Source organism: Homo sapiens, chromosome 9, assembly GCF_000001405.40.
Source record: "Homo sapiens chromosome 9, GRCh38.p14 Primary Assembly".
In the NCBI taxonomy this organism is placed as follows: Eukaryota; Metazoa; Chordata; class Mammalia; order Primates; family Hominidae; genus Homo; species Homo sapiens.
This window is the reverse complement of record NC_000009.12, coordinates 133,582,878-133,609,789: the sequence shown is the minus strand read 5'-3', so window position 1 is coordinate 133,609,789 and position 26,912 is coordinate 133,582,878. Positions and strand designations below refer to the sequence as shown.

Sequence of the window (26,912 nt, the reverse complement as noted above, 5' to 3'; positions counted from 1 at the left end):
GTGTGCCGGGCCTCGAAACATCATCGGATTTCATTCTCAGACCAACCCTAAAGGTGCTGGTGTTAACTCCCCATTTTAAAGATAAGAACCAGCCGCTCAACCAGGATAAGGGACTTGCCCTACTGCGGATAAGCAGCAGCTTCGGCCTGACTCCAGATCCCAACGTTGTGGAAGCCGGAACGCCCCGAGAACAGGCGGAGAGCGGAGGGAGCACCGCAGGGCGCCGGCCAGGGTGGGGGCACCCCCAGGCCTCCAGGAGGTCGCGCGTCCCGGGCGAGAGCGGACGAGCCGTCAGCACCAGGGACAGCTCCCCAGGCCGCTCCCGGCATCCCCCGACGACTGCGCGCGCGGGCCGGTGACGCGCGCTCCCCGCCAGGCTCGGGCGCGCGCCCTCCCCGCCAGCGCGCGCCCTGCGCTCGGGACCAGGCTGGAGCCGCGCGTGCAGCTCGCAGGGAGCCAGCCGGGGCGTCCGGAGTCGCGGCCGCAGCGCGGAGCTGGCAGGGGTGCCCGCCTGGGCACGCAGTCGCCTCCCCGGGGGCCTCCCGGGCTTCTCAGCGCCCGCCTCGCCCGCCCAGCCACACCAGGCGCCACCGCCGTGGCCTGGGCATGAGCGGCCGCCGCTAGCTGCGCCCTGCCCGGGTCGGACGCCCGCCCGCCCCGTCACGTGCGCCCAAGTCCTCGCGGCCGGGGCAGCGCGGTTCCCATGCTTCAAGGTAAGGGCCGAGCGGGCCGCGGGTCACGGGGTGTGGGGCAGAAGACGCAGGCTGGAAAGCTCCAGCTAGGTGCCCACTCGTCCAGAGTGCCCACTGCAGCCTGCCCCGGCTGCCTCGCACCAGGTCCCCTGACCCAGCTGGCGTCACCCATCCCCTGGCTTCCACCCTCAAAGCGCATCCCCGAGGAGGAGACTGAGACCCAGGTGGGCACGAGGGCCTAAGGGAGAGGTGGGGGACCCACTTTAGGAAGGGGGGCTTCATTTCCCTCGGAACAGTGGCCTGGGGGCAGGGGGCAGTGGGGAGGGAAAGTTTCCCAGAAGAGCCCTCTGGAAACCTGGCCGCCTTCTCTCCCTGCCAGGAGCTAAGACTTTTTCATTTGCTGAGCTTTGCCTTCTTCCAGAGTCGGTGCTGCATTTTCATCCCATCCCATTCACCCAACACCCACGAGAAAGGGGCATTGGCCCCATTTCACAGATGCAGAAACTGAGTCTCCGAGAGGTTTGGTCTCTTGCCCACGATCACAGAGTGGGGAAGTGGTGGAGATGGCCTCAAACACGCCGGCCTCTGTCACCACCACCTCACACCTTTGTCTGTTAGGAATCTCTGCTTCATTGACAGGTGGGGGGTTGCCTAACTGACACTAGGTTTCCTCAGCCAGAAAAGAAAAGACTCTACACACCAAAAACCCAAGAGATATTCAACATGGGTCCTCAGGGCTCCACTGTCTCACCCCACTCGTGTCCTGTCCTCCCGCAGCCACGGACTGCCTGGGCACAAGTGGTCCTGCCAGTGTGTGTCCCGTAGCAACCCCGATGGCTCTGAGACAAGAAACTCAAGGGTCAAGTTCATGGAACCTTCTGCAGGGTAAGGGGAGTATCCTTGAGGCCTGAGCCCCAGCATTCGTCCTAGCACCTTCCCCAGTAAGCAGGAGCTCAGGAGAGCCAGCGGGCCACCCTGCCAGCCTTCTCCCTTGCATTTCCCTCAGCCCCTGCCAACTCACGCTCTTCAGGGCTTCTGGGGAGAGCAGTAATTACCAACCCCCAAAAAGTTCAGGGTTGCTGGGAAAGCACCTTTGCCCATCTTCCCACCTTCTCCCTCTTATAGAATTGAGAGTGAAGTGGAGGTGACCAGGGCTCTACCCACCTGAGCAGGTGAGAACCAGCACTTCCTGGGCTGGGCAAGGGCTGGTTTTAACTCTTGGTGCACTGACTGCAAGCTTCCTAAACAGCTTAGGTGCTGGCAGCTTGTGAAAAAATCTCACCCTAAGGCTCGGGGGCCCAGGAAATGTGGGGTTTTGTTCATTCGGTCTTGCACTTGCTGGCAGTTTGTTGAGCATCTGCACGATGCTATGAAAAGACCCACAGGGCAGTCTTTGTATCCTGGATCCAGCTGGGTTTTGGTTTCCCTATCAGCTGAGTTTCCAATGGGGCCGGCTTGTCTAGACTCAGCCGGAAAGCTTGGAAATGGCTCCCGAAGGATCTGGGGGTCTGGGAAGGATGCACAGGCTCTCCCAGCCTCAGTGCCCCACTTGCATGGGGAGGGAGTGGGAGCTCCAGGGTGCATTGCTGGACTCTCAGGACGTGCTGACACCACTCAGAATCCTGGCACACAGAGGTGTTGCAGCTTCTCCACCCTCGCCTCTCCAGCAGGTAGGGCAAGGAGCCCCACAGAGCTCCTCCTACCCTTGAGGCTGGAGTCCCCAACACACGTCTGTCATGCCAGTACCATCAGCAAACATGAGCAAGGGCACCTGGGGAAAGGTGGGCACAGATGGAGAAGTCGGGACTCGAGTTCTGTCCACCTTTTTGGGTGACCTTGGGCAAGTCACTTTCCTCTCTAGACCTCAGTCTCCCATGTACAAAATTGTGGGGTGGATCATTTCATGTCCCCCCTCTGAGCCATTACAGCTCTGTTCATCTAAGCCCCGGATGGAGTAGGAAAGCTGGGAGGAGTGCAGTTCCTCCCTTTTTGCCATGGTATTGAGGGAGTGCAGAGCAGTTTTGAAATCTTCGGACTGACCTGAGTCCAAGCCCCCAGTCCGTGCCAACCCTACTCCCTACTCACATGATCACCCCCGTTTTGTATATTTAGGGGCTGGCTCTATATTCCTGACTTTTCTGGTGCTGGTTCTGGGTGAGGCTTCACAGCATGGAGACCCACTCCTGCAGTGAGACCTCTGGCTCCTGCCACGTGGGCCTGCCTCTGCAGCCTCATGGCAGCGGGCTCCAGCGAGGAATAATTACAGCACTCGGGAGGGGAGAGATGTATTACATCTCAGTCAATTACCTCTGACTCTAAACTCTCGGGGCAGGAGGGGAGGCAGAGCAGCAGCCGAGCCCTTGTTCTGTCCTCCACTCCGCTCCTGGCCCTACCGCCACTTCCCTCTTCAGAGTAGCAAGTCCTGATCTGTGTGTTGGTAAAATGGCAATTTGTGTGGCAGAGAGAGTGGTTTCCAGGCCAGACCACGGGTGCATCATTCCGCATCCCCATCTGCAAAAATGAGGGTGCTCCTGCCTTCCCTGCTGGCACATGGGACACCGGGGCAACCGTGAGCCTGGCCAAAAGGCTTTTGGATGCCAAGAGCATGTGGTCCTGGGGACCACCCTACAGAGGCCAGGGTGGGGCTGGGGGGCTTCTCTGCCAGCTGCTGCCACACTTGGCACTGGTACTTCTTGCAGTGTCTCAGTCTTTCTGGATCTGCTCCAGAGGGGATTTGATGAGTTCCGAGGCCTCAGTGTTTGCCAGCTCCCTCCCTCCGTTGCTGAATCCTCCCGCAGGCCTTGGCCCAATCCCCGCTTGCTGGGGGTTGCTGGAGAGGGGAAGGAATCCTGTTGCCCCTGGGGTGAAGTGGGCTGGTGGAGGTAGAGTTGAAAGCCCAGCTTTGCTGCTTTCTGGCTGTGGAACCCTGGGCCTGAAGGTCTTGGGCTGGAAAATGGAGACTGTGCCTCCTCCTTCCCTCGGGCCTCATCAGTGAAGGAGGAGGCTGGAGAGTCAGGTGGGGTCCGGTTCCGCCAGGCTTGTAAGCCCTGCTCAGTGGTTGGGCTTTCCGCCGCAGTCCACAGGAACCAGGCTCTGGGAGCCCGGAGGGACATGGTTCGCTCTGCCCTTTAGGGACCCTCTCTGGCTGCACCATGGGGAATGACTTGGAGAGGGGGCCCTGCAGGCAGGAAGCTGGGGAGGAAGGGAAATGATGGAGGCCTGGACCAGGGTGGTAAGAAGAGGGCAAGTGACAAGCATGTTGAGGGCTGGATGTTTGTGTTGGGGTGATGGGAGACGGCCTGAGACTGCCCAAATGTCACTCCTATACCACTCCCTTAAGTCAGGCTCAGGCAGCGCCGGACGCTCGGGATGGGCCGCACGTAGGCAGTGAGGTTGCGGCCCCGGGGCCCTGGGGGAGGACTGTTGTTTCAGCAGCAGCTCAGTGTCAGAGCCATCATCCCACTGGGCTGGATGTTACCGCCTGTGCTCTGGGCGCTCTCAGCCCTCGGGGAGCCGTCCGTGCCTGTGGGAGTGGGTCCCTGCCGGACCGAGCTAGTCACCTCTGCCCTTGAGCTCAGTTTTCCCAGGTGGCAGAGGTGGAAGAAGGCTGCACCAGCTAGGGAGCTCCGGTGGAGGCTGGGCAGGGACTGGGACAGAGACCCCAAAACAAACCAGGCTCCCAGGGCTGCCACCTCGTCCACCACATTCCCTGGCTACTGAGGGTGGCAGTGTGGCTGAGTGGACAAGAGCACAGCTTCTGTAGCTCAGCAGAGCCGTGTTTCCATCCAAGCTATGCGTCCCTCGTGAGGTTACTCAGCCTCTCTGGGCCCCAGGTTCTTCATTCATAAAATGGCAATCATTACATCCGCCTCTGATGTGCCAGCTTACCTCCCAGCCAGCAGACTGGGAGAAGAGCCCTAGCGAAAACCTCTTCCAGGCCAGCTCCACCCCACGCAGCCCCGACCCGTGCTCACTTCCTGGCTCTGCCGTAAGGTGGCCTCGGGGCCCACAGGCCTCGGTCTGCACCTGGCAAGCAGGCAAACCCCACATCGTGGGGCAGCCTTGGCTCCTGACCTCAGTGTTCACACACAGGCAGGATCATCGCCACCTCCATCTCCGTTCCTCACGAGGAGGTCCACAGTTTCTGTGTGCAACAGGCTGGCCCTGTCTGGGAGCTGGGCCTGCTGGCAGGTCCCGGGTCTCTGGAGAACCGTCCTCTCTCTTTTGAAATCATCCTAATTTGCATTTGCTGTATCTGGCTGCACTACCTTATAGACATCAATCTGAAATCGTGCTACTCCAGATGGGGTTCGGGGACCAGCAGCAGCAGCAGCAGCATCCCTAGGAACCCGTGAGAAATGCAGGTTCCCAGGCCCCCAGACCTGTTGTAACCGGCCCCCAGGTGATTCCTGTGTTCCGTGGAGTTTGAGACTCACCGCCCACCACGGCAGAAAAGAGGTTCTATTTGCATAAAGCAAGGGTGACTGTCTCCTTCATGCTCCTTATATATTTAACTTCATATATTAAAGGGTGTTTGAATAAAAGAAATACATGCTTGCAGTAAGAGAAAAACCAAGCTATTCAGCTTTTGTTGGTTGGTTGGTTGGCTGGTTTTTTACAAAGTAAAAGCCCCCGGTTTCCTGGGTGTGGCCTGCCCCCCAGTGCTCGGCTGTGTCAGTGACGTGTGTGTCAGCCACACTGGGCACCACCGAGAGACCAGTCTGTGTGTGTTGTTCCCTGTCCTTTTGACTTAACAGGTCTTGGTTGTGTCTGCATGTCGACACCCTAGTCTGTCATTGATTTACCTGGACCCATATCAGTAAACAGTCATGTAGGCCATCCACAGGTTTTATTTTTTGTGTGTGTTCATTTTATATACTTGTTCACTCAAGTAATCACTCCAGGGAAGGATTTCATAGTTGGATGAGGGATGTGCAGTGTGAATAGAAATAAATAGGCCAGGCGCAGTGGCCCATGCCTATAATCCCAGCACTTTGGGAGGCTAAGGCAGGCGGATTACTTGAGGTCAGGAGTTTGAGACCAGCCTGGCCAACATGGTGAAACCCCATCTCTAATAAAAATACAAAAAAGAGAGCCGGGCGTGGTGGCATGCGCCTGTAATCCCAGCTACTCGGGAGGCTGAGGCATGAGAATTGCTTGAACCTGGAAGGCGGAGGTTACAGTGAGCCAAGATCACACCACTGCACTACAGCCTGGGTGACAGAGTGAGACTCTGCCCCCTCCCCCAAAAAAAGAAAAGAAAAGAAATAGCAATGCAAAAGCAGCTGTCCATGGATTAGAAGATGGGTGCAAGGTAGCAGGTGCCCCAGATTCAAAGGAATGTACACCCTGGGCTGGAGCAGGCAGGGAAGGCTTCCTGGAGGTGGTGCTTGAGCTAAGCCCTGAAGGATTAGCATGGAGCAGGAAGGAGCTGGTGTGGCACAGACATGCGGGCTCCTATCATCACCAGGAGGCAGGAGGACTAGTCTGTCAACTTTGGCTAATGAGCAGTGGCCCCGCTAAAGATGCCCCTGAATTTCCTCTTCTCCCTTTGCGGGTGGGAGAGAACAGGCTGGGCCACTTCCCTGTCATCTCATTGGCTTTTAGCTTTCCAAGCTGGATTGTGGCTGGGGTTGCTTTTCCCACGTGCTGTAGGCCACCTCTCACCCCCTGGTCTCCACTTGGTTCACCAGCCGTGCAGACCCTCTGCGGTTCCTACCAACACATCCCCCTAGCGTTAGCTCTGATTATTTTGCCAAGAGCGATCTGAGGCCCTGGAGGAAAAGGCCGGCTGCGGTGGGATGCGCTGGGTATGCATTGGACCCACAGCAGTAGGGGAGGAGGCGCCTGGGTGCATCAGTGGTTTCTCTGTAGCATTTGTCAAGGGCCTCACCTTTGTGTTTGAAATGTCATGTTTACATCCTGTTTTCAAGTCCTCCAGTTGGCGTTGGCAATTGCAGTCTCACTTGATTCATTAGGGAACTTTCCTAAGGCAACATAAAGATGTTCATTTTCCCAATCCGAAGGCGAGCACCTGCCCACCCCAGGTGCCCTTTCTCCCTGGGCCAACCTCTTGGGCTGGCCCCCCCTCCGCCCTGGAGTCCAGCAGACTCAGCTGAAAGGAGGGCCCACATTTAGGGCCAGAATCCTATCTCAGGTCTCCCTTCTCAACGGTTCAAAACTAGCCACTGCTTTAAGAGGGCTGATTCTGGGATATAATGATTCGATTCTGGTTCAAAGGAAGGCAGAAAAAAGCGTCCAATATTTTACTAGAAAAATATCAGCTTCTCTGCAACATTGTCGACTGTGAGCTTCTGGTATTTACTTGTGTTTAGAGTTTGTTTGGTTAAAGACTCATTATGCAGAAGCCTCCTGCCTTGGTGTGAACCCATTTACAAAATTAAAAATGTAGTCAACTTTAATTTTACCTTCATGGAACTTCCCACATGAGAGTTCCCTCTAATTACTGAACAGATCTCTATTTAAAAAAAAAAACTGTTTTCCAACACAGAGTCTTGAACAATCACTCGTGTGGTCTTTTCTGTCACCCCTGGGCTGAGCCGTCCTGTTCGCTGCTGGCCCTTCTCTTCCTGGGAGCGCTCATCATTGCCCAGCTGCCAGAAGAGGAGGGGTTAGCATTGGTGGAGGGAAGCAGGGGGAGGGAGGAGCAGGGAGGGACGTCCACAGAACCAGCCAGATGCTCTGAACAGTCGCAAGCGTGGGACCCCACAGCTCAATCCCACCCGGATTCGAACTCTTCCAGCTGGTAAGCGTAGGCACATTACTAAACCTCTCTGTGCCCTAGTTTCCTGGTCTATGAACATGGGCCTGGCTCTTTCCCACTTGCAGGGTGATGAGAACTCATCCGTCGTCATCCACCGGAGATCCCAGACCCAGGTAGAAGTGTGGCAGATGGAACTTGTTGTTATATGGCGGGTCTTGGGCATGGCTGGAGGCAGGGCCTGCCAAGTGGCCCCTGCGGCAATGCTAAAGCTCTGTGTGTGTGTGTTTGGGGGGGCGGGGGGCAGGGTTCAAACCCTGCTTAAAACCATTCCCAGCTGAGGATAGAACCCAGCCCCGGTGCGGCCCGTGGAGCCCCACCCAGGACAGACCCTGCCAGCCCCCAGCTTCCCTGCTGGTCCTCCCTGCAGCACTCCTGTGTGCTGGCTACTGCCTGTTTCTCGAACCCTCAGAGTCCCTTCCTCCCTGAGGCTCCTCCCACCTACCCCCCTCGCTGCCTGAAGGACCTCCTGGCCAGTGCCAGGTCCCAGCTTTAGTCAAGCCTTCTGAGACGCGCCCTGACGCCATGGTGGTCAGATGGCTGGTGGTTTTGTGTGGCTGTGGCTCCCCCAGACCAAGACACCCCATGATTAGGGACAGAGATGGCGTCTGGTTTCCCATCAGGGTCTTCACTCAAAACATTCAAAACCAGCAAAACATCCTCAGGGAAGAAGGGACTTGCAGTGTTCCAGAAATGGGAAGCAAGCCAGCGTGTAGGAGCAGTCCGGGGGGTAGCTGCGTCTGACCCATGTGGCACCCGAAATTCTCCAGTTATGGGGGTTTCAGTAATCGGAAGGGAACTCCAGAGAGAGTGGGTCTCGCCTGGCCAGGCCCCTGTGGTTAATGCTGCTATTTGTATTGACAGCATGACCAGTTTCTAAAAAATCCTCTCACCTGCAAGACAGACCCTTTCAACAGCACACCTCCACTCGTTTAAAAATGGCTGAGCCCAATCTATTTAAAAAGGAGAATTAATGTTAAAAAATTGCTCCAGGCAGGGTCTTTGCTGAAGCCTTGGTCAAAGACTGCTCAGGGCAGCAGAGTTACCTGCACAAGTTATAATAGAATCACTGAGTCGGCTCCAAAGGCGCGCCCTGCCCAGAGAGCTCAGAGGCTCAGGAAGGGGGCCCAGTGGATCTTTGTAACCCCTGTGCCTAGTATGGGGCAGTGGGTGTTCAGGGCTCCAGGAGGAGTGAGTAGAGTGAGGGATGGAAGAAGGGTTGTCAGCTCACAGGCTCTGCTGCCCTCTGAGGCCCTGCTCCCAGAGAGCTTGCAGGCGGGTAGGGCCCTCCCAGGGGTCCTCATGGCTGGTACTTGGGAGAGAACTTGGGCTGATGTCAGGGAAGAGCAAAATGTCTGGAGTTCAGCCAGGAACTCGAGGCAATGAAGCTCCCCCCCTACCCCCTACCAAGGGAGAGTTGAGTTAATGGCCTTGGATGAATTGTTATTTGCGAGGGGAAAGGGGGTTAGGGAGCGTCTGTGATTGTTCACTGAGCTTGCGATTACACTAGTTATCTTCCAAAGTCCCTTCCGAATCGAAGAGGAAAGGAGTCTCAGATTCTGAGCAGCCACTGGTTGCATGTTCTGATTTTTAAGACTCTAAAATGTGGCTTTAAGATTCTGGGAGCCTGCGACTCCAGGAGCTTAGACCAACCTCTCCTCAAGCCCCACGAGTCTTGGGCTTCCACCCATCCTTTTACCCTCTGGTTTTACCCCTGCTCCCACCCCATCCCACTGCAGACCCCATCGAAAGCTCCAGGGAACAAGCTGGGCCCAGCTTTAAATGAACTGCAGGAATCTAGAGGCCCAGCTGCAGGGGCCATCTGGGGCTTCCCTCGTAAGTGCCAGGTGACCTGGGCTCCACTAAACTGAGAGTGGGTGGCACCACAGGGAAACAGGGGTACTGTGGCACACGCCCCTGCCCCGGCTGCCGTGTGGGCCAGCCAGTCTCTTTGGGATGGGCCAGGCTGCTGGACTCTACCTTTGCACCTGCATGCTGCTCTTCATCCACTCTCAGCACTACACACACACACACACACACACACACACACACACACAGACCACACTCACACACATGCACACAGACCACATTCCCCCCCACACACACACACTCACACAGACCACATTCCCACATACACATGCACACAGACTCACACTCATGCACACATACATTCACACACGCACACAGACACACATACACATAGACCACACACATTCAGAGGCACACATGCACACAGACACACACACATGCACACACAAACTCACACACATCCACACAGACCACACATACATGCACACAAATGCACACAGGCCACACACACACATTCGCATATGCACACAGACACACACACATGCACACACGCACACACATATGCACATAGACCACACTCACACACATGCACACAGACCACACCCACACTTGCACATGCATATGCATGCACACAGACACACTAGCACACACATGCACACACACTCGTACACAGACACACATTCATGCACATATACACACATGCACACAGATCACATGCACACACACGCACAGACAAAAACACACTTGTACATGCATACAGACCACACACATGCACACAGACACACATGCACATGCTCACACATGCACAGATACACATGCACACTGACACATATGCACACATATACACAGACACAACTAACACATGCACACTTACACATACATGCATGCAGATACATGCACACACACATTCACACATGCACACGGACACATACATGCATACACAGAAACACATGCACACACTCAACACATGCACACAGACACATACATATGCATGCACACATACACACACCCCTTACACATTGACACACATAGACACAGATACCCACAGACACAGATACACAGACACACACAGATGCAAACACACAGACACAGGCTTCAGCTGCTGTCGGGCTTGCAGTGGGGTCCCGGGACCCAGGTTCCCTTTGTGGCACAATGCAGCACCATGTGCTGGGAAGGGGAGCCCAGAGGAGGCCTGGGCGAGCAGCAAAGCTTCCCTGAAGTCACGTCTGAGCTGAGAGCTGAGCAGCAGCCTGACCTGACCATGCAAGGAGTGGATGGCAGTTCCGAGTCGATGGAGCAGTGTGTGCAAAGGCCAGGAGGCAGAGGCGAACTCTGTGCAGGTGAGGCATTTAAAGGCGAGAATGGCTGGAGCCCAGAGGCAGGACAGGAGGAGGGTGGGAGACAAAGCTGAAAGTGTGGCGCTCAGGCCAGGTGGAAGGTGCCCCCAGGGCAGGGGTGCAAGGGCCACTCACAGGGAAGGGGGGAGGGCCCCTGGGGGAGGGGGTGCTGCCTGCATCCAGCAGGGGCAGGCTGGCATCCTTCCCCTCCATCTGCCCTGGGCTCTCCCTGATGAGGGCAGGGATCTCAGGCCACCTTTGTTCTGAGCAGCCTGAGAGGGGCCACTGAAAGGAGCCCTGGGGGACAGGCACATGAACCAGCAGCTCAGGTGTTCATTTGCCACCTGTTTGCTGGTGCCTCAGGTCCCTGTCCCCAGTGCTCCACCTGTGAAATAAGATGAGGACTCCTGTCTCTAACTCTCAGGCTGCTCTCTCTGGGGAGATATAGACCCAAAAACTCAGCCAAAACTACAGTGTGCCAAGGAGCATGAGTGCGTTATTCTAATTCACCACTGACATCACAGTCCTGGGAAAGCGGTCCCTCTCTCCCTCCCTCCCTCCCTCCCTCTCTCCCACCAGCAGCGGGTGCCTGGCTCCTGGGCCGAAATTATCTAAGTGCCCCAACTGTTGGGTTAAGAAGAGCCCCACCTCCTCACCCCAGCACACGCAGCACACAGCTGTAGCCATGGAAACTGCCTGTAACCTTGTGAACAGCTAAAATAGACATTATATATTTTTTGGTTTGTTGTTTTTTTTTTTTCAAATGCACTTCTCTTTTGTTTCACACTCCTGTGTTGATGGGTAAGGATGCATACGGTTCAGGGTTGGTGTGCAGAACATGCCTCACACCCCACCCTGTGCCTTGTTCCACCCCATGCTCGCTCAGAAGGGCCTGGGCCCAAGGGACTGGGGTCCCCAGGGGGAGAGCCCCTGAGGAGCTGCTGTCTCCTCAACCCTGCCTCTAACAAGACAAGCCCGACTCCACCCAGTCCCCCAGGAGCAAAATACCTCCCGCCGCCTGGCTCCCAGGGAGGCCTCGAAGCTGGGTTTTGTGAGATTGAAGGCTGAGCAGGGAGCCCCAGACTGGCCACTTAGATGTTGTCACCATGGCTCAGGTTGGGACCCAAACCCAGTGAGAAAATCAGAATCCACAGTGGTAGGTCCAGACCTGTGTGTCTGAGAAGGAGCTGAGCTTTGAGCCCTGTCCCCTGGACAAGTCTAGAAGAGGAGACAGTGTAAATGCTGCTCTTCATCTCCCCTTCATTTTGGAAGGGTTTTTTTTCTTTTTCTGGATTGCACGTTCCAGGTTGACGGCCTTCTTTTTTTTTAGCACTCGAAAGGCACCACTCCATTGTCTCCTGGCTCTCATTGTCTCCAGCAAGGAGTCTGCTGTCATTCTTACCTTCGAGCCCTTGTAGGTCATGCAGCCCTTGGCTCTGTGTTTAGATTTTTCCCTTCGTTGCTGGTTTTAAGCAATTTGATTATAATGTTCCCTGGTGTTGTTTTCTTCTTGTTTCTTGTGTTTGTGGTTTGTTGAGCTTTTTGGATCTGTGGGTTTATAATATCATCCAATTTGGAAATTTTTCAGCCAATATTTATTTATTCTAATTGTTTTTTGCACCAGCTCCAACTTCTTTGGAGATTCCAGTTATACGTATATTAGACCCCTTGAACTTCTCCACACCTCACTGAGTTCTGTTTGTTTTTTTCGTTTATTGATGTTTTTCTCTCTATTTCACTTTGGATCCCTTCTATTGCTCTCTGCAAGTTCACTAATGTTTTCTTCTGTAATATCTAGTCTGAGGTTAATTCCATCCACTGCATTTTTCATCTTAGGCATTGTCATGTTTTCATCTCTAGAAGTTCGGTTGGTTCTTTTTCCTATCTTCTATGTCTCTACTTCATATGCTCAAGTTTTCCTCTGGTGTTTTGAACATATAAGCTACAGTTAATAACTATTTTAATACCCTTGTCTCCTAATTCTATCATCTGTGCCACTTCGGGGTTAGTTCCAATGAATTGATTTTCTGTTCACTGTGGTTTGTATTTTTCTGCTTCTTTCCATGCCAGGTAATTTGTTACTGGATGCCAGATATTTTGAATTCCACTTCATTGTTATATTGCAATACATATTTGTGATGTCTGTTCTGGGATGCAGCTCAGTTATTGGGAAATAGTTTGATCCTTTCAGGCCTTGCTTTTAAGCTTTGTTAGGCAAGTCTAGAGCAGCTCTACCCAGTGCTTCATGAATTAGAACCTTCCCTGATTGGTGGGAAGAGGAACTATTTCTGGACCTGTGAGAGCTTCAAATATTGTTCCCTGGAATCCTATCAGCTAGTTCTTTCTCTGGCCTCAGGTAGTTTTGCTCACATTTGAGTCACTGTTCAGCCAGCTACTCATGGGGGACCCTCTGCAGAGCCCTGTGGCTCCACGGTCCCCCACGGAGCAGCAGGCTCCTCCCCAGTTCTGTGTCCTGTGACCTCCGGCTACTTTGGCCTCCTTGGGCTATCATCTCTCTCTGCAACTCAGGGAGAGCAGCGGGCTGCACCTGAGCTCCCTGCACCATAGCCTGGGATTCCAGCTGGAGGGAGCTGGGGCCACCACAGGGCCCTCCTTGTCTCTCCCCCATGGCTTGAGGAGTGCTTTCCTTCATCACTGGTGTCACCTTCAAGCAGGAGGGCAAGCCTGGGCCCCATTACCCCATCTTGGCTGAAACTCTGGCTAATGCTGCTTTGCACGACAAGGGTGAGCCACCCCCGCCCCCGCCCACCAGTTATGGGGAGACTTCTACTGTCATCTCCATTTTATCAAACTGAAACATGGAGGAACGAAGAAACTTAGCCAAGGTGATGCACAGCCCAGATTCAAGTGGCAGCCACCGTGCTGCTCCCAGACAGGAGCATGGCAAACTCGGGGGCTCCCCGCACAGCCGCCCGGGCCAGAAGCCTCTGGTTTCCCAGGACTCCTCCCTGCTCCCCATCAAACCACCAACAAGCCCTATTGGTGCTCCCTCCCACTCATCCCCCCATCCCCTTCTCTCCAGCCCACCACCTCCTCCCTCTTGATGACCATGACAGCCTCTGAACGGCTTCCTCCCACTCTGCCTCCACACCCACCCCACCATGCCTGCCTTGCACCCGCAGCCACAGAGCCACTACCAAAAGCAGAACCAGTCCAGTTACTCTCCTGGCCAGCCCCCTTCTGACCCTTGCCCTGAACACATTCACTTCTCATTCGGCTGAGAGTCACCAGGTGCCCACCATGGGCCCAGGACACCATTCCAGGCACCAGAATAAAGAGACCGAGCCCCTGTCCTCAGCAACTCAAATTCCAGAGGGAAGAAACAGACAGTAAATGAACATATAATATGCCAAGTATGGGGTAAAGGTACAAACCAGGCAGGTTAAGGGGGTGGAGAGCAACCATGGAGCAGGGGATATTTTTGATATGTGGCCTGGAAGCTGTAAAGTGGGGGAAGCCACTGTGGGAAGGGTGGAATGGGAACGGGTGGACATGGGGAAGGAAGGGGAACCTGAGGCCTGACCCTGGGCCCCTTCACACTTAGAGGTCAGGAGAGTAGGAGAAGCCAGCCAAGGAGGGAGGGGGAGATCGGGGAGAGCACAATGCCCCAGAAGCCAAGGGCTACAGCCCCTTGTCCTCAAAGTGTGGTCCGAGGATGCCGCACCAGCAGCACCAGATGCTTGTTAAAAATGCACAGTCCTGGCCGGGTGCAGTGGCTCACGCCTGTAATCCCAGCACTTTGGGAGGCCGAGGCAGGAGGATCATCACTTGAGGTCAAGAGTTGGAGGACAGCCTGGCCAACATGGCAAAACCTCGTCTCTACTAAAACCACAAAAATTAGCCGGGTGTGCTGGCATGCACCTGTAGTCCCAGCTACTTGGCAGGTTGAGGCAGGAGAATCACTTGAACCTGGGAGGCAGAGGTTGCAATGAGCTGAGATCGTGCCATTGCACTCCAGCCTGGGTGACAGAGGGAGACTCCGTCTCAAAAACATAACAAACAAAAACAAATGCACAGTCCTGCAGCCCCGCTCCCCAGGCTACTCGATGCACGTTAAAATGTGAGGAAGACTGACCTGGAAAGTGTTTTGGAGAGGAAGGAGCAGCACCAAGCTGTGACAGGGAAGGCAGGGACAGGGCTCCAGGAAGGCTGGCTCAGGCACCAACGCCCTGCTGCCTGCGGGGTCTCTGCTGACCTCGCCCCTCTTGTCTTGTCCCCCTCCTGCTCTTATACTCCAAGCAAGATGGGCTTCTCCAGGTCCTGCCTTGCCCTGCCTGCCTCTGGGCCTTTGCAAGTGCCATTTCCTGCCCAGGGTGCTCTTTCCCATCTTCTCGCTACTCATCCTCAGGTTTCAGCATCTGGGCCCCTCACTCAGGGTCACTTCTCCTGGCTGCCACCCCTGTTAACACTCCCCATTCTTCCTCTCTGCACTCCCGAAATCACCAGTGCACATTCATGTCCCCCCACAGGACTGAAAACTCCACAAAAGCAGGGACCCAAAGCTGGGCCCAGGATGCAGTAAGAGCTGAAAGAATATTTGCTGCTGAATTATTAATAAACTATAAATGCCAAACATGTGGTGCAGACAGAGGGTGCTACTAGAGCCCAGAAGAGGGAGCCATCTTCAGGGGTGGGAATCAGGAAAGGCTTGCTCCAGGAGCATGGAGACAGATGGCCAGGAATCTCAGTACGCAGAGCTGGAGGGGAGTTCGAGGTCCTGGGAATGACACTAGCAAAGGCCCAGAAGCAAGAAAATGCAAAGTTGGTGGCTGGGAGGCCAGAGGAACAACCTCTTACCCAGACAAGTCTAAAGGGCATTGGGGCAGTGCAGGTGAGGCCAGAAATGTAAATCAGGAGCAACCTTGGAGGACCCAGGACATCAGATGTTCGGGACCTAGATCAGGAGCTGTGTTCCAGAGAGATTCCTTGGATGGACTGATGGGGATGCCTTACGGGAAACAAATGCGCTGTAAAGGAAACCTTGGCACTATTCCGAGAGCACAGCTCTGGACGTGGCCACTGGGATAGGAAACCAAACCTCAGTGTGGTCTACACAAGCTGATCTTGTCTCGTTAAAACATAATTGAAGTCCTACCAGTTGGCACAGTCACAGAAATGTCCCCGCAGCCCCAGAACCTGCTCCACACGGTCCACCCCTGTCATCTCCTCTCACTGAGAGCCAGCCCCATGGATCTGGGGGTGGCAGAGGGGGAGTGGATGTGGCTGAGACGGGCCTGCCCTGGAGCTCCCAGCCCAGACTTAGGAAGGGAAATTCCAAGGAGAGGCCAGTGAGGCGCCATCAAAGCCACTGGCCCTGCCAGCCCCTGGGCAGTGTCTGAGGTTCGGGGCCGGGGTGCGAATCTAGCCTGCCGACAGCCTGTCTCCCTGGGCCAGGATGAGGCAGGGACCCTGGCCCCAGCACCGGGCTGTGCTTGGCACACAGCTGACTCTCAGCAGATGCCATGGAAAGGAGGGAGGAAAGCTGGAGATTGTCATAATTCTCCTGTTTCAGAGACAAGACTGAGGCCATGGTCGCCCTGATGCTAATGGGGAGAGTCTGGATTCCTGCCTAAGCCTTTCTGACTCCCAGGCAGATATGGACACAGCATCAGAGGTGTCCGGGGCTGGGAGGGAGAGGTGATAGCAACAGGTATAAGCACACTGGAGCAGGGGCATGGAGGTGAGGGCCTGGGAGCAGGTGTATGACCTCGGCTGGCAGAGGGGCCAGTGGAGGTGGCCTGGGCTGGGGGTGGCAGAGGGTATGGATGGCAGTGGTGGACAGATGCTGGACTCTGGAGCTACTCAGGGAACTAAATGGGCAGGATTTTCTGGAGATGAGATACAGGAGGAAACAGCCAACTCCAGGCATCACTTTGCTTGGTTGGCTGAGCAAGAAGAGATGCTGACATGGGAGAGTCTGCCTCCTGCTGGCTGCATTGCCTTGGCAAATCAGTTCCCTGATGTTTGCTCATCTGCAGAATGGGCACAGCGATACAGGGGGGGAAACCTTCATCAGGTCCCAGCATGACCCAGGTCCCTGTAAAGACTGATGAGAGGGCGGCTCTGCTTCCTGCTGACCCGCACCGCACAGGCGCACACGGCACTCACACGCGTTCCGTGTTCCTAACTCAGAGGGCCTCGGCCTGGGCTGCACATTGGCACCACCAGCAAAGCTGTGCAAGTATTGGTTCGTGAGCCCACCCCTAGAGCTTGTCCTGTCAGTGGCCTGGGATGCTGCCAGGTCTGGGGCAGGTGTAACTGCCCCAGGTGATTCGAGTGTGCAGCCCGGGGTCAGCCTGTTGCTCTCCAGCAGCATCGGTCAGAATCCTCTCGGGGGCTTGCTGGACCTCACCCCCAGAGTTTCTGACCCCCCCGCCGGCCTGGGTGGGACTTGGAACTCTGCATTTTAACAAGCTCCCAGTTGATGCTGATGGTGCTTTAAGTAAAGAAGTCACTGGCCTGGGGGAGACACAGACTGGTAGTTATCTGCAAGGCTGCAGGACCAGGGTGGTGGCTGAAAGGCAAGGAGAGTGGCTGCGAGTTGGCAGAGGGCAGGCCCTTGGCCGGAGAGGGCAATGTTCACTGGCGCAGCCTCCCCACCCCTTCGCCCTTCTTGTGTGAGCCCCTCAGCACAGCCAGCGTGGGCACCTTCCTGGAAGAGGGAAGGCACTCTTCTATGGCTCCAGGCTGCCAGTCCACCTGACCAGTGGGGTGGACATTAGTGGCTGCTGGACACACCCTCGGCCTCCCTCTCAGGCCGCCCAGGGGCAAGCTCAATTCTGAGCTCAGGTTGACTTTCCCAAAACTTCCCCGATGGCAGAGGGGGATGCATCTCTGCTCCCTGGAGTTGCAGTCGTGATTCCTGTAGACAAGAAATCCCACAGGGGCACGGCACCACCTCAGCCCTCCCAGGGTGCTTGGTTCCCAGGGGCTCCGCCTCAGCCAGTGACTCGGCCCACAGGCATTTATGGAGCACCCACTGTTTACCAGGCCTGTGCATCAAGGTGAGGCTGAGGGCCCACCCTCGTGGAGCTGGACACGAGGTCACAGTGTCCTGGGGAGGCTGGCCAAGGGAGCAGCTCCAGAAAAACAAGGAAAATGAAAACAAGCAGGGTGGGCCAGGCCGCGAGCACTAGGGAGGTCACGCAGGCTTCCTGGAGAAGGCGAGGCCCGGCACCATCTTAAAGGGCCAGAAGGAGCCAGTCACCTGGAAAGGAGAGGACAGCGGGGGTGCCAGGGGTCTCCCAGGCCAAGGGACAACCCCTGAGGCCAGCAGGTGCATCCCCAGAGCGGTCCCCGTCCTGAGGCAGAGGCCACACGGACAGGCCTAGGGTGAGGGTCAGGTTGGTCCCAAGGAGTGAGGACTCACTCAGAGGAGCCCCTGCTGGGCCAGACCTGCTTTGGGGGCCATCCTTCGGGACAGTGGTTCTCCCAGTGTGCTCCCCCAGTGTGCTCCCCGCGCCCGCTGCATCAGCATCCCCTGGGCACTTGGGAGAAAGGCATGTTCTCCGCCCCCCTGAGTCCGAAGCTGCAGGGTAGCGCCCGCAGCCAGGTTTCAGTGCATTCGGGGGATGCTGGTGTAAGCCCAATGTGAGGGACGGGTGCTATGGGGGCACCAGGGAGGACTGGACCAGGGAGGGCTCACATTGGCTGTGGAGAAGGCCAGGCAGGGTCCCCTGCAGGGACACAAGCCAGGAGGAGGGGCAGGATGAGCTTGTGTGTGCACGGCCCCAACAGGAAAATGTGGGTGTCATCTCCGCCACAGTTACCACCCCCACAGGACACCCAGGTGGCCAGTGCCCTGAGGCTGGGCCTGGGTGTCTCCCCCATCCGGAACAGCACCTGGTTCCTGGCCTAAGTAAATACAAAGCCTGCTGTGATGGACCCAGGATGGAGAGGGCTGGGAGACAGGGGCCCAGTGCCAGGGCATAGCAGGTGCCTGCCACTGCGGAAGAGGCTGCCCTGGCCCCAGGAGGCCAGCTGCTTGGCAGAGGGTGGTCATGGCAGTGCAAGGTAGACCCAGAAGGGAGGCAGCTGCTCATGAGTGGGGTGGTCCGGGCTTGGGCCTTGGAAGACAGACCAGGATGCCCCAGTAGCTGGGCCCTGCCCTATCCAGAGCCTGCCTGCCTGCTGAGGGACCCAAGGAGAGAGGCTTTCTGCCAACGCAGGGGGCAGGGCCAGGAGCTTCAGAGCTGGTACCTCTCTCAGGATCCCCAGAAGCTTCCTTCACAAAGGGCAATGGTAGTATCCAGGGTTCTTTCTCAACCTGGCCCCATGTGTCCCATGTCCTGACCGAGAATGCTGTTCTGTCGGCCCCTTGACACCCAGCGGCCCCTCAGGCAGAGGAGACCTTGGTAAGGGCTGGAATTCCTGGCTGGGGGCAGAGTTTCCGGGCCACGCTGCTGGCTGGGGTCTGGGGTGCCTTCCATGTGTCTACTGGCTCTCGGGGCTCTCCTGGGACTCCAGGCGTGTCCCCACTGAGCAGAGAGTCCACCTGCTCCTGTCCGTAAGGCTGAGTCAGCGAGGGCTTTACTGAGCATCCAGGAGTTTTCTCGAACATTATCTCAAGGTGCTGGGCCATTTTGGTGGGTAAAGGCCTGGAAGTGCATCAAGCCTGTGCTTCCTCCCTCTTTGTGCCTCCGTTTCCTCATCTTTGCATGAGGATGCTCAAAGTGCCTGCGCCGGCTGTGCCTATAGGGTTCACTGAAGCACCGGGGAGCCCCCAGCCCAGCACGGGACTAAGTTATTTGTTTACTAAACGAGAGCTCTGGTCGTTCCAGCAAGTCCTGGCCTGGCCCTCCCTCCCGTCCGCCTTCCAGGCCCTGAACTGGGACCAGGAGCTGGGCTCAGTTCGAGGAAGAGAACGAAAAGAAAAGAAAAAAGGAAGGAAGGAGAGAGAGAAGGAAGGAAGGAGAGAGAAGGAAGGAAGGAGAGAGGGAAGGAAAGGAAAGGAAAGAAGGAAAGGAAAGGAAAGAAGGGGAGGGGAAGGGGAGGGGAAGGGGAGGGGAAGGGGAGGGGAAGGGGAGGGGAAGGGGAGGGGAAGGGAAGGGGAAGGGGAAGGGAAGGGGAAGGGGAAGGGAAGGGGAAGGGAAGGGAAGGGAAGGGAAGGGAACTTAAGTCCAGCAGCAGAGAGGGTTTTACGAACCCAACTTCTGCACATTGGTATTTTTAAGGGAGACAAAAAGCCAGCCCCGTCGGCAGCTGAGCTGGGACTTGCCCGGGGTTTTCAGGCCCTACCCTCCCACCCCCCATTTCCTGACCCACGGCTGGGAGATCGGGAAACTGCAGCCCAGAATGTTCTTGGTGCATCTCATCTGCCTTTTCCTGGCGGCCTGAAGCCCTGGCCTGGCCTACAGCTCTGTGCTGCTGTTCCCGCCCCCTGGGAAACACTGGGGATCAGCTAGGTGAGGGTGGGGGTCACGAGGGCAAGACCCCAGCTCACTCAGGGCCTGCGGTGCAAGTGTGGGCCGCGGCCCCCACTGCATTGAAATCAGCACCAATGCCGCCCTACTGTGTGTGTGCGCGCTGTGTCGCCCCCTGGTGGCCGGAGGACTGCAGTGGGAAACCAGGTTCTTGCCTTCATGGGGCTTAGGTCTGATGCAGGGAAGGCGGTGAGTTTACCCCGTCCCTACAGGCAAGCTGAGGGTGGGGGATGGAAGGAAAAGGAGATACATCAGATTTGATGTGGCACACCATGTTCACCCCTGGAGCCCTCACCCCTCACCATGTGACCTTGTGCTTTTCTCTCCCCATGCTAGACTCCTTGGCTCTCTTGTTTCCTTGTCTGTAAAATGGGCATAATAATAATCTTTGCCTTGGCTGTCCCGGCAATTGAAGGAGACATTGGTGAAGGGTGCCATGCCCTCCTGGCACAGAGATAGTGGTGCTTGGCACAGGATCCTGTGCTTATTATTATTAAGAGGTATAGGGAGCCATGCAGGGTGTTTGAGTGAGGCAGGAACCTGTTCAGACTTACGGTTCAGGAACCCCAGTGGGGCAACACAGGATGGCACGGGCAGGAGCCCCAGCTCACGGGATTTCCCAGGGGGTATTTTCCGGGGGTATTGCTGAGCATTCTACTTGTTGAAAAGCAGGTTTCTCTGCTGTATTGAAATCATCAATGTCAACAGTTGTAGGGCCTGACAGAGAGACGGGGCCTGAACCACGAGCTTCTTCAGGGATGTGCATAAATATTTCAGACCACGAGGTGGTCAGAACAGGAGAGCAGGGGTTTCTGGGAGAGGCTGCTGAGCTCAGCATCCAGAAACCCAGTCCTTTTCCCTTCTCCCATCTCCTCTACCAACAACTTGGCGCCCACGACCATTCAGGGTGACTGGCCTGTGTCTCACTCTGCAGCAGATGTGCCCGGTGACCCTGGGCAAGGTCCCCTCTCTGGGGAGCACAGCCACCCAACTGCACAATGAGTGGGTCAGCAGCATGCTAGATCCCTCAGCATGCTAGATCTCTCAGTATGCTAGATCCCTCAGCATGCTAGATCCTTCAACCTGCTAGATCCCTCAACATGCTAGATCCTTCAGCATCCTAGATCCCTCAACATGCTAGATCCCTCAGCATGCTAATCCCTCAACATGCTAGATCCTTCTGTACCATTGAGCCCACCCCCACCCCAGAGTTGGGATCCAACCTCCTTGGGCCATGCAGCCCAGGTGTGCCCTCTTCTGGGCAAGCAGGACCTGGAGCCAAAGGTGGCAACTTCAGGCCTGACAGCAGCGGCCACAACTCAAGCTTTATTTTTGCAAGTTCTTCCCCAAATCTTTCTGTTCAAGGTCCTTAAGTAGCGTGGTAGCCTTCCTGACAGAAGGGCCCCACAGGCCAGGCCTCCCACCAGCATGATCTATCTGAGACCCCCATGGCACTGCCTGCTGCTCTGCCCCAGACAGGGCCAGTGGTTCCCCCATCTCCCACGATCCCCGACTCGGTCTCAGCAGAAAGGGGCTGGGACTGGTCAGTGATTTTTGAACAGGGTCTGCAATTCCCTAGTGCCAAAGCAGGGAGTGCTACTGGCTTCCCCACTGCCCAGCCTCACAGCTCAGGGTGCGGGGACTTCTCACCTTTGCCTCTGTGGCTGCTCCTGGCTTCCTGGGCAGATAGCAGCAGTGAGGTCCTGGTGAGCACTGGGCTCCCACCCTCCCCTCCCCTCCCCTCCCAGGCTCGCCCCCCGTTCGCGCCCCCGTTCGCCCATCACCTTTTTCTCTTTTCTCTGTCCCTTCCCTATCTGCTCCAGGGGCTCCCAGGGAGATCCCAGGAAAGAGCTTCAGGGACCCCAGCCTGAGAAAGTGGGGTCAGTTAGACTGGGCAGAAGGTGAGGTTTGAGGCAGGCCTGACTCTTGGGGTGATGGTCTGAGTGCCCCGCCTCCCTCAGACCACCCAAAGCTCCAGCCTGAGAGTCCCAGCCACACCCGTCGGGGACGCAAGCCACTCATCTCCAGGAGGCCCAGGGAGCAACCAGGCAGCCCTCAGCCGGGGTCCCCTCTCCTCCCACACCCTGCCTGGTGGGGGCTATCTCAGCTCCGCCTGACCCAGCCTCTGACTGCACTGAAGGCTAGACCCTGCCCACTGGGTCAGAGGAAGCAGTGACCCCTGAGGACCAGGGAGCCCCCAGGAGGCTTTGGCACAGCCCCATGATGGAGGCCAGGAGGCCTGATCCTGACACTCCCTGTCCTGCCCTACGGTTCCTGAGGTTGGCAGACAGTGACTTCCTGGTGGGGACCAGGCCAGGGGGGGACAATCACCTAGTCCTTTCAGCTTCGTGCTTCCTGCTTATGGCTCCAGGGCTTCCCAGCCATCCACAGCCTTGGCGTTGGCTCCAGCTCCTCTCCTCCTGGTCCACAACACCCCTCGACTCCCCTTCCCAGCTCTGCACCATGCCAGTAGTGGGCCAGGCAGGGCTCCAGCCCTGGGTCGCCCTGGTCGCCGGTCAGCTGAAACTGGTCTTGAGAGTGGCCTCTGTGGCTTGGACTCCAGACAGGGATGGGCTTTGAGTTTCAGCAAGACTCCTTGAGGAGCAAGGATAGGCATCTGTCCGGTCGGCTTTTCCATTGCTCAGTGGATCATCTCACTCTTCTGGCCTCAGTTTACTCCCTAGAAAATATGGGTCAGTCATCTCCTTGCAGAGATGTGTCAGACCCCCTGCTTCCCCGATGGCCTAGGGAGTGGGCTCTGGACAGTGGCCGAACCACTCTTACCTCAGTTCACGCCACCACCTGGGAAAGCCGCCTACGCTGGGGGGTCCCAGGGTGAGACGAGATGAATGCACAGAGTCCCGCAAAGCCTGGCTGAGGCCATGCTGGTTCTTACAACCCCTGACATGGTTGGGTGGCAGTCCTGAGAAAGGCAGGGACCCACTGCTCCCCATCACACCCCACCCCTGCCTTACTCCTACCCAACTGCCCAGCAGCTCCGGCTGGCCCAACGTGGAAACAGCTTCCATTCTTTAAGAGCACAGAGACCCCTGGGCACCACAATCTGCACTTTTGTGCCAAACACACACTGTGTGCCCTGCTTCTGCTGGGCAGTGAACCACAGACCCTAAGAGCCCCTCCATGGTACTGACCCCAGGGGGCTCTCCAGCTGGGGTCTGGGGGGAGCTTCTAGAAATCTGTGAAACCCCAGAAGTGGCCAGCAAAATGCCATGGTCCCTGTGCTCTTTCTGGGGGCCCCTCAAGGAATCCAGGCAACCACGGGGGCAAACCCTGGGCACGAACGAGTTTTCCAGACACCAGCTCCCCACTCTGTGCCAAGCCCGGCAGCACCAGTCCCCCTGCTGTGGGCATTTTCTGCCTCCTAGACAGACCGCAAGCCCCTCAGAACCCGTGGTGGGCAGGGGCCTGATTCACTGCCCCCTCTTCCCCCCGCAGCTGAGCTGGGGATAGAGCTGGGAAGGCAGACATTCCAGGTGCTGTTGGGAACTGCCCTCCAGGCCCCGCAGACTCCCTTCTGCCAGCCCACCCCCAGCCGGGCTCTGGATAACATCTCGGAGACCAACCGCGGCAGCACAGGGCAGCCGAGCACTTCCTCGTCTGTTTATTACTGAACGCAGGCATCTGGGAGCCCGCGGAGCATGAAATTAGGAACAAATGTGCAGGAGGTCTAGACAGGAACTCTGCGGGCTGCTCTCCTCCGATCGAGGACGCCGGGGCCCTTGGGCTTCCAGGTAATGGGAGCGCCTTTGTAACCAGACAGATGTGTTTGTGGAGAAAAGGCGCTCTGAGTCTCCATAAGCCCTCGACGAGACGCCGGCATGGGGAGGAGTCTGACCGTGAGGCAACAAGCCTGGGTTCCAGGTCCAGCTCTGCCCTGGGCCCCCAGGGTTGGCCCTCTCTGCCCTGGCCTTGGTTTCCCCATCTGGAAGTGGAGGGCGCCCGCCTCACCTGGTTAGAGGGGCCGCTTGTGAAGCCATCAGATTGCAGGGCCCGTGCAGCTGCACTGCCGTCGGGACGTCTGTGTGTTTACCAGGCTCCCCGTCCTGGGGCCCGGTTGGTTTGGAAGGCGCGGGGCTGGATGAGCCAGAGGGCACGGCCAGTGCCGAGGATGTAGGCCTTGGCTTCTCCCTGGCTCCTACCACGAGCGCTGGGCATCTCAGGTGAACGAGGCAGACAGAAGCCTTCATTAAGCGTCGCCTGGGCCCTGTACCATGCAAGGCAGTGGCGGGGGCTGGGGCTGGGGCACAAAATAAATAAGCTCTGGAGGGGTCCGTTCCCGTGGGCTTTACGGCAAGTGAGGGGGATGTGGCAAGAGGGACAGAAAACTAGCAGAGTCTGAAATTCAGCACGGGACGTGTGGCCCAGATGGTGGTTAGCAGGGGGTCTCCTGCCAGGGAAAGGTGGGTGTGGGGAGGGGGCTCCCGGGGGAGGCAGGTGGAGGCCCGTGTCTGGCTCTGCTGCCAGGTGTTTCCTGCCCCACCCCCAGCTCCACGCCATTCATTCCTCGGTGCCGGTGCCGCAGGAGACAACTGAAGCTTGTAAACGCAGCTGGCTCTCCCTGCCGGCTACAGAGACGAGATGGGGCCCTCAGAAGGGGACTGTTGCCCGCCCAGGCCCCCTTGCCACAGACTCTGTGGACTGGGGTGGGGGACGCACAGGGGAGCCCCATCTCACAACCTGTCCCTGTAAAAACCCGGGGTGGGAACAGGGAAGCAAAGCCATTTATAAAGCTTTAAAACCATTTATGGTCCCAGGGGGCAGATAAACAATTCAGCGCTATTCTCGCCAAATTGCCTTGGCTGGCAGTGCGGAGGCTTCAGGGAGCTGGAAGAGGGGTGGGGCTCGAGTCACAAGCAGGCGGCAGAGTAGCCTCTGCCAGGCTGTTGCTGGGCCTGACCCGCATGGCTCTGCCTCCGAGGCTTGGCCTGTGCTGTTCCCAGCACCAACAGGCCCTCTCCTTCTTCTCCCAGCCCATCCTTCACAGCCCGGCTCAGAAGCTTCCTCCTCCAGGAAGTTTCCCTCGGTTCCTCCCCCATCCGTTACCACCCTGAGCAGCCAAGTCCTCCCCTGTTCTCTCAGGCACTCAGCTTTCTCAGAGCACAAGTATCCTTGGGAGCCAAAGTGTCTGTAGCCCTTCCCGTTCTCTGCCTACCCTTGGAGGGTGTCATCTGGCTTTTTCGCCTTATCACTTGATGTTTGTTTACATTTTCATAATCCTGACTTTGTTGGGTGTCTAAATCATCTGGATTCCTGGCAGGACCAATTAAAAATCCAAGTCCCCCAGAGTTGGGAGGAATCAGCGTCTAAACCCTGCCACACCCATTGTACAGATAAGAAAACTGAACCCAGGGAGAGGCCTCTGACCCAAGGTCACCCGCAAGAGTAGAGCAGGACAGAGGCCCCGCAGACTCGTATCACCTGGGCCACAGCTGAGTAGAGTCCTGGGGTCCCCAGGGAGGAGGCTGAAGGTAAGCACTCAGGGAGGGCAGCAGGTGGTCCATATTCTTCCCCCATTAAATGAAGGGGTGGGACCTGGTCCCTCTCAGCTCTGGCGTTTGAAGTTTTGAAGTTCTGTGGTGTGTATTAAAGTTCAGGAAGGCTTCCTGGGAGAGGAGGGCACGTGCTGGGCTTTGATGGCGTGGTAGGTCCGGGGGGGGGATGGGCATCCCAGAGGGTGGGGCACAGCTAGAGCAGAGGGGAGGCAGGAGGGTGGAGGCCCAGGGAGGCCGTGTTTTTGGGAGCTGCTCGGAGTGAACTGTGGTCTGATGTCAGGCTGGGCGCTGGTGGAGCTGCCAGCGGAGTGTGTGTCTGTCGGCCATGCCTGGCCCTGGGACCTGGCGCCGTCTCGGGCGTTGCTGCTCCTCGGCAGGCGTGTATCTGCAGAGCGAGGCTGAGAGGCTCCAGCTGGACCAGCCTGGGTGTTGGAGGGTGGCTGCTGACAGCCCTGGGCACCTGGCCTGAGCCGGCACCCTTCCCGTCACGCCGCCAGGCTGCTCTCCGCTGGAGGAGACCTGGGCCCAGAGGAGCTGCAGCCAGGCGGAGCCAGGGACCGGCTGCATCTCAGACCTGAGAGAGAGCTTTGCGGCGAGCGGGGCCAGCTCCCTCAGGGACCCGATGAAGGACTCAGACCCAGGGAGGGACACGGTCCTAACATCAGCACAGCACTGAGCATGGTGCAGCTGCTGTCCCACAGAACCCCTGGGGTTCTCCCATTTTATAGAGGAGGGAACTGAGGCAGAGGAATGGAGGCACTGAAGGCCCATTCTTGCAGCTAACCAGAGGCAAAGCCAGGCTGGCACTTGGGGGTTTAGCCTGGGTGTCCTGTATGGCTCCCCAGTACCTGTCCCTGAGGGAGCACCTCAGCCCAGCCATGGCCACCTACAGTCTCCATCCTCCCTGCAGTCTCAGCCTGACAGCAGTGGGAGCCCCTCCACCCAGGCCCATGCTTCCCTATGGGAAAGCAGTGGCCCCCATTGCTATCAGTAAGCCCTAGCAGTGGGCCCTCAGCCATGGCCCGTAGTGGAGGGTGGTGCTGAATTTTAATCCCTGCATGACCACAGACAACACTCGGGCACGAGCCTCCACCTCCCTCAACCCCTCCCAAGCTGTGTGAGTGCCCTCATTGATGAAGTGGGGCCATAATTACCTGGGTGCAAATAGCAAAAATGCCCTCCAGGTGACATACACACAGTAGGTGACATACACACAGCAGGAGTCACTCTGCAGGTGTCGGGGAGGGATCGGCACCTGAGTCAGGACCACAACAGCAATCTCTCCGGCAGCTGTGGCCTTCCTCGCTCCCTCCGGGGACCAGCGCCTTCTGACTCTC

At 57.1% G+C, this 26,912-nt stretch overlaps 1 protein-coding gene across 10 annotated transcripts in view, besides 1 other annotated feature; it reads left to right on the top strand.

The window, feature by feature from the left end:
• Positions 1-400: 400 nt before the first annotated feature.
• Positions 401-26,912, top strand: part of FAM163B (family with sequence similarity 163 member B) — a 32,309-nt gene continuing 5,797 nt past the window's right edge. The window contains exons 1-3 of one of the 10 annotated variants that reach the window (XM_047423714.1): positions 401-713; positions 1,470-1,577; positions 1,818-1,864. The gene's annotated coding sequence lies outside the window, so the exon portion shown is untranslated. Of the gene's footprint in view, positions 1,578-1,817; positions 1,865-7,377; positions 7,590-9,693; positions 10,623-23,670; positions 23,815-24,914; positions 25,552-26,912 lie in introns of those variants that run through there. The other 9 variants (XM_005272204.5, XM_047423715.1, XM_047423716.1 and 6 more) reach the window with 9 other exon arrangements.
• Positions 16,882-17,381: an enhancer, noted in NCBI's record as "H3K27ac hESC enhancer chr9:136457531-136458030 (GRCh37/hg19 assembly coordinates)". NCBI's record gives its function as "activates a minimal SCP1, AML or CMV promoter by ChIP-STARR-seq in naive H9 embryonic stem cells {active_cell/tissue: H9 hESC(naive)}" and the evidence as "EXISTENCE:reporter gene assay evidence [ECO:0000049][PMID:30033119]".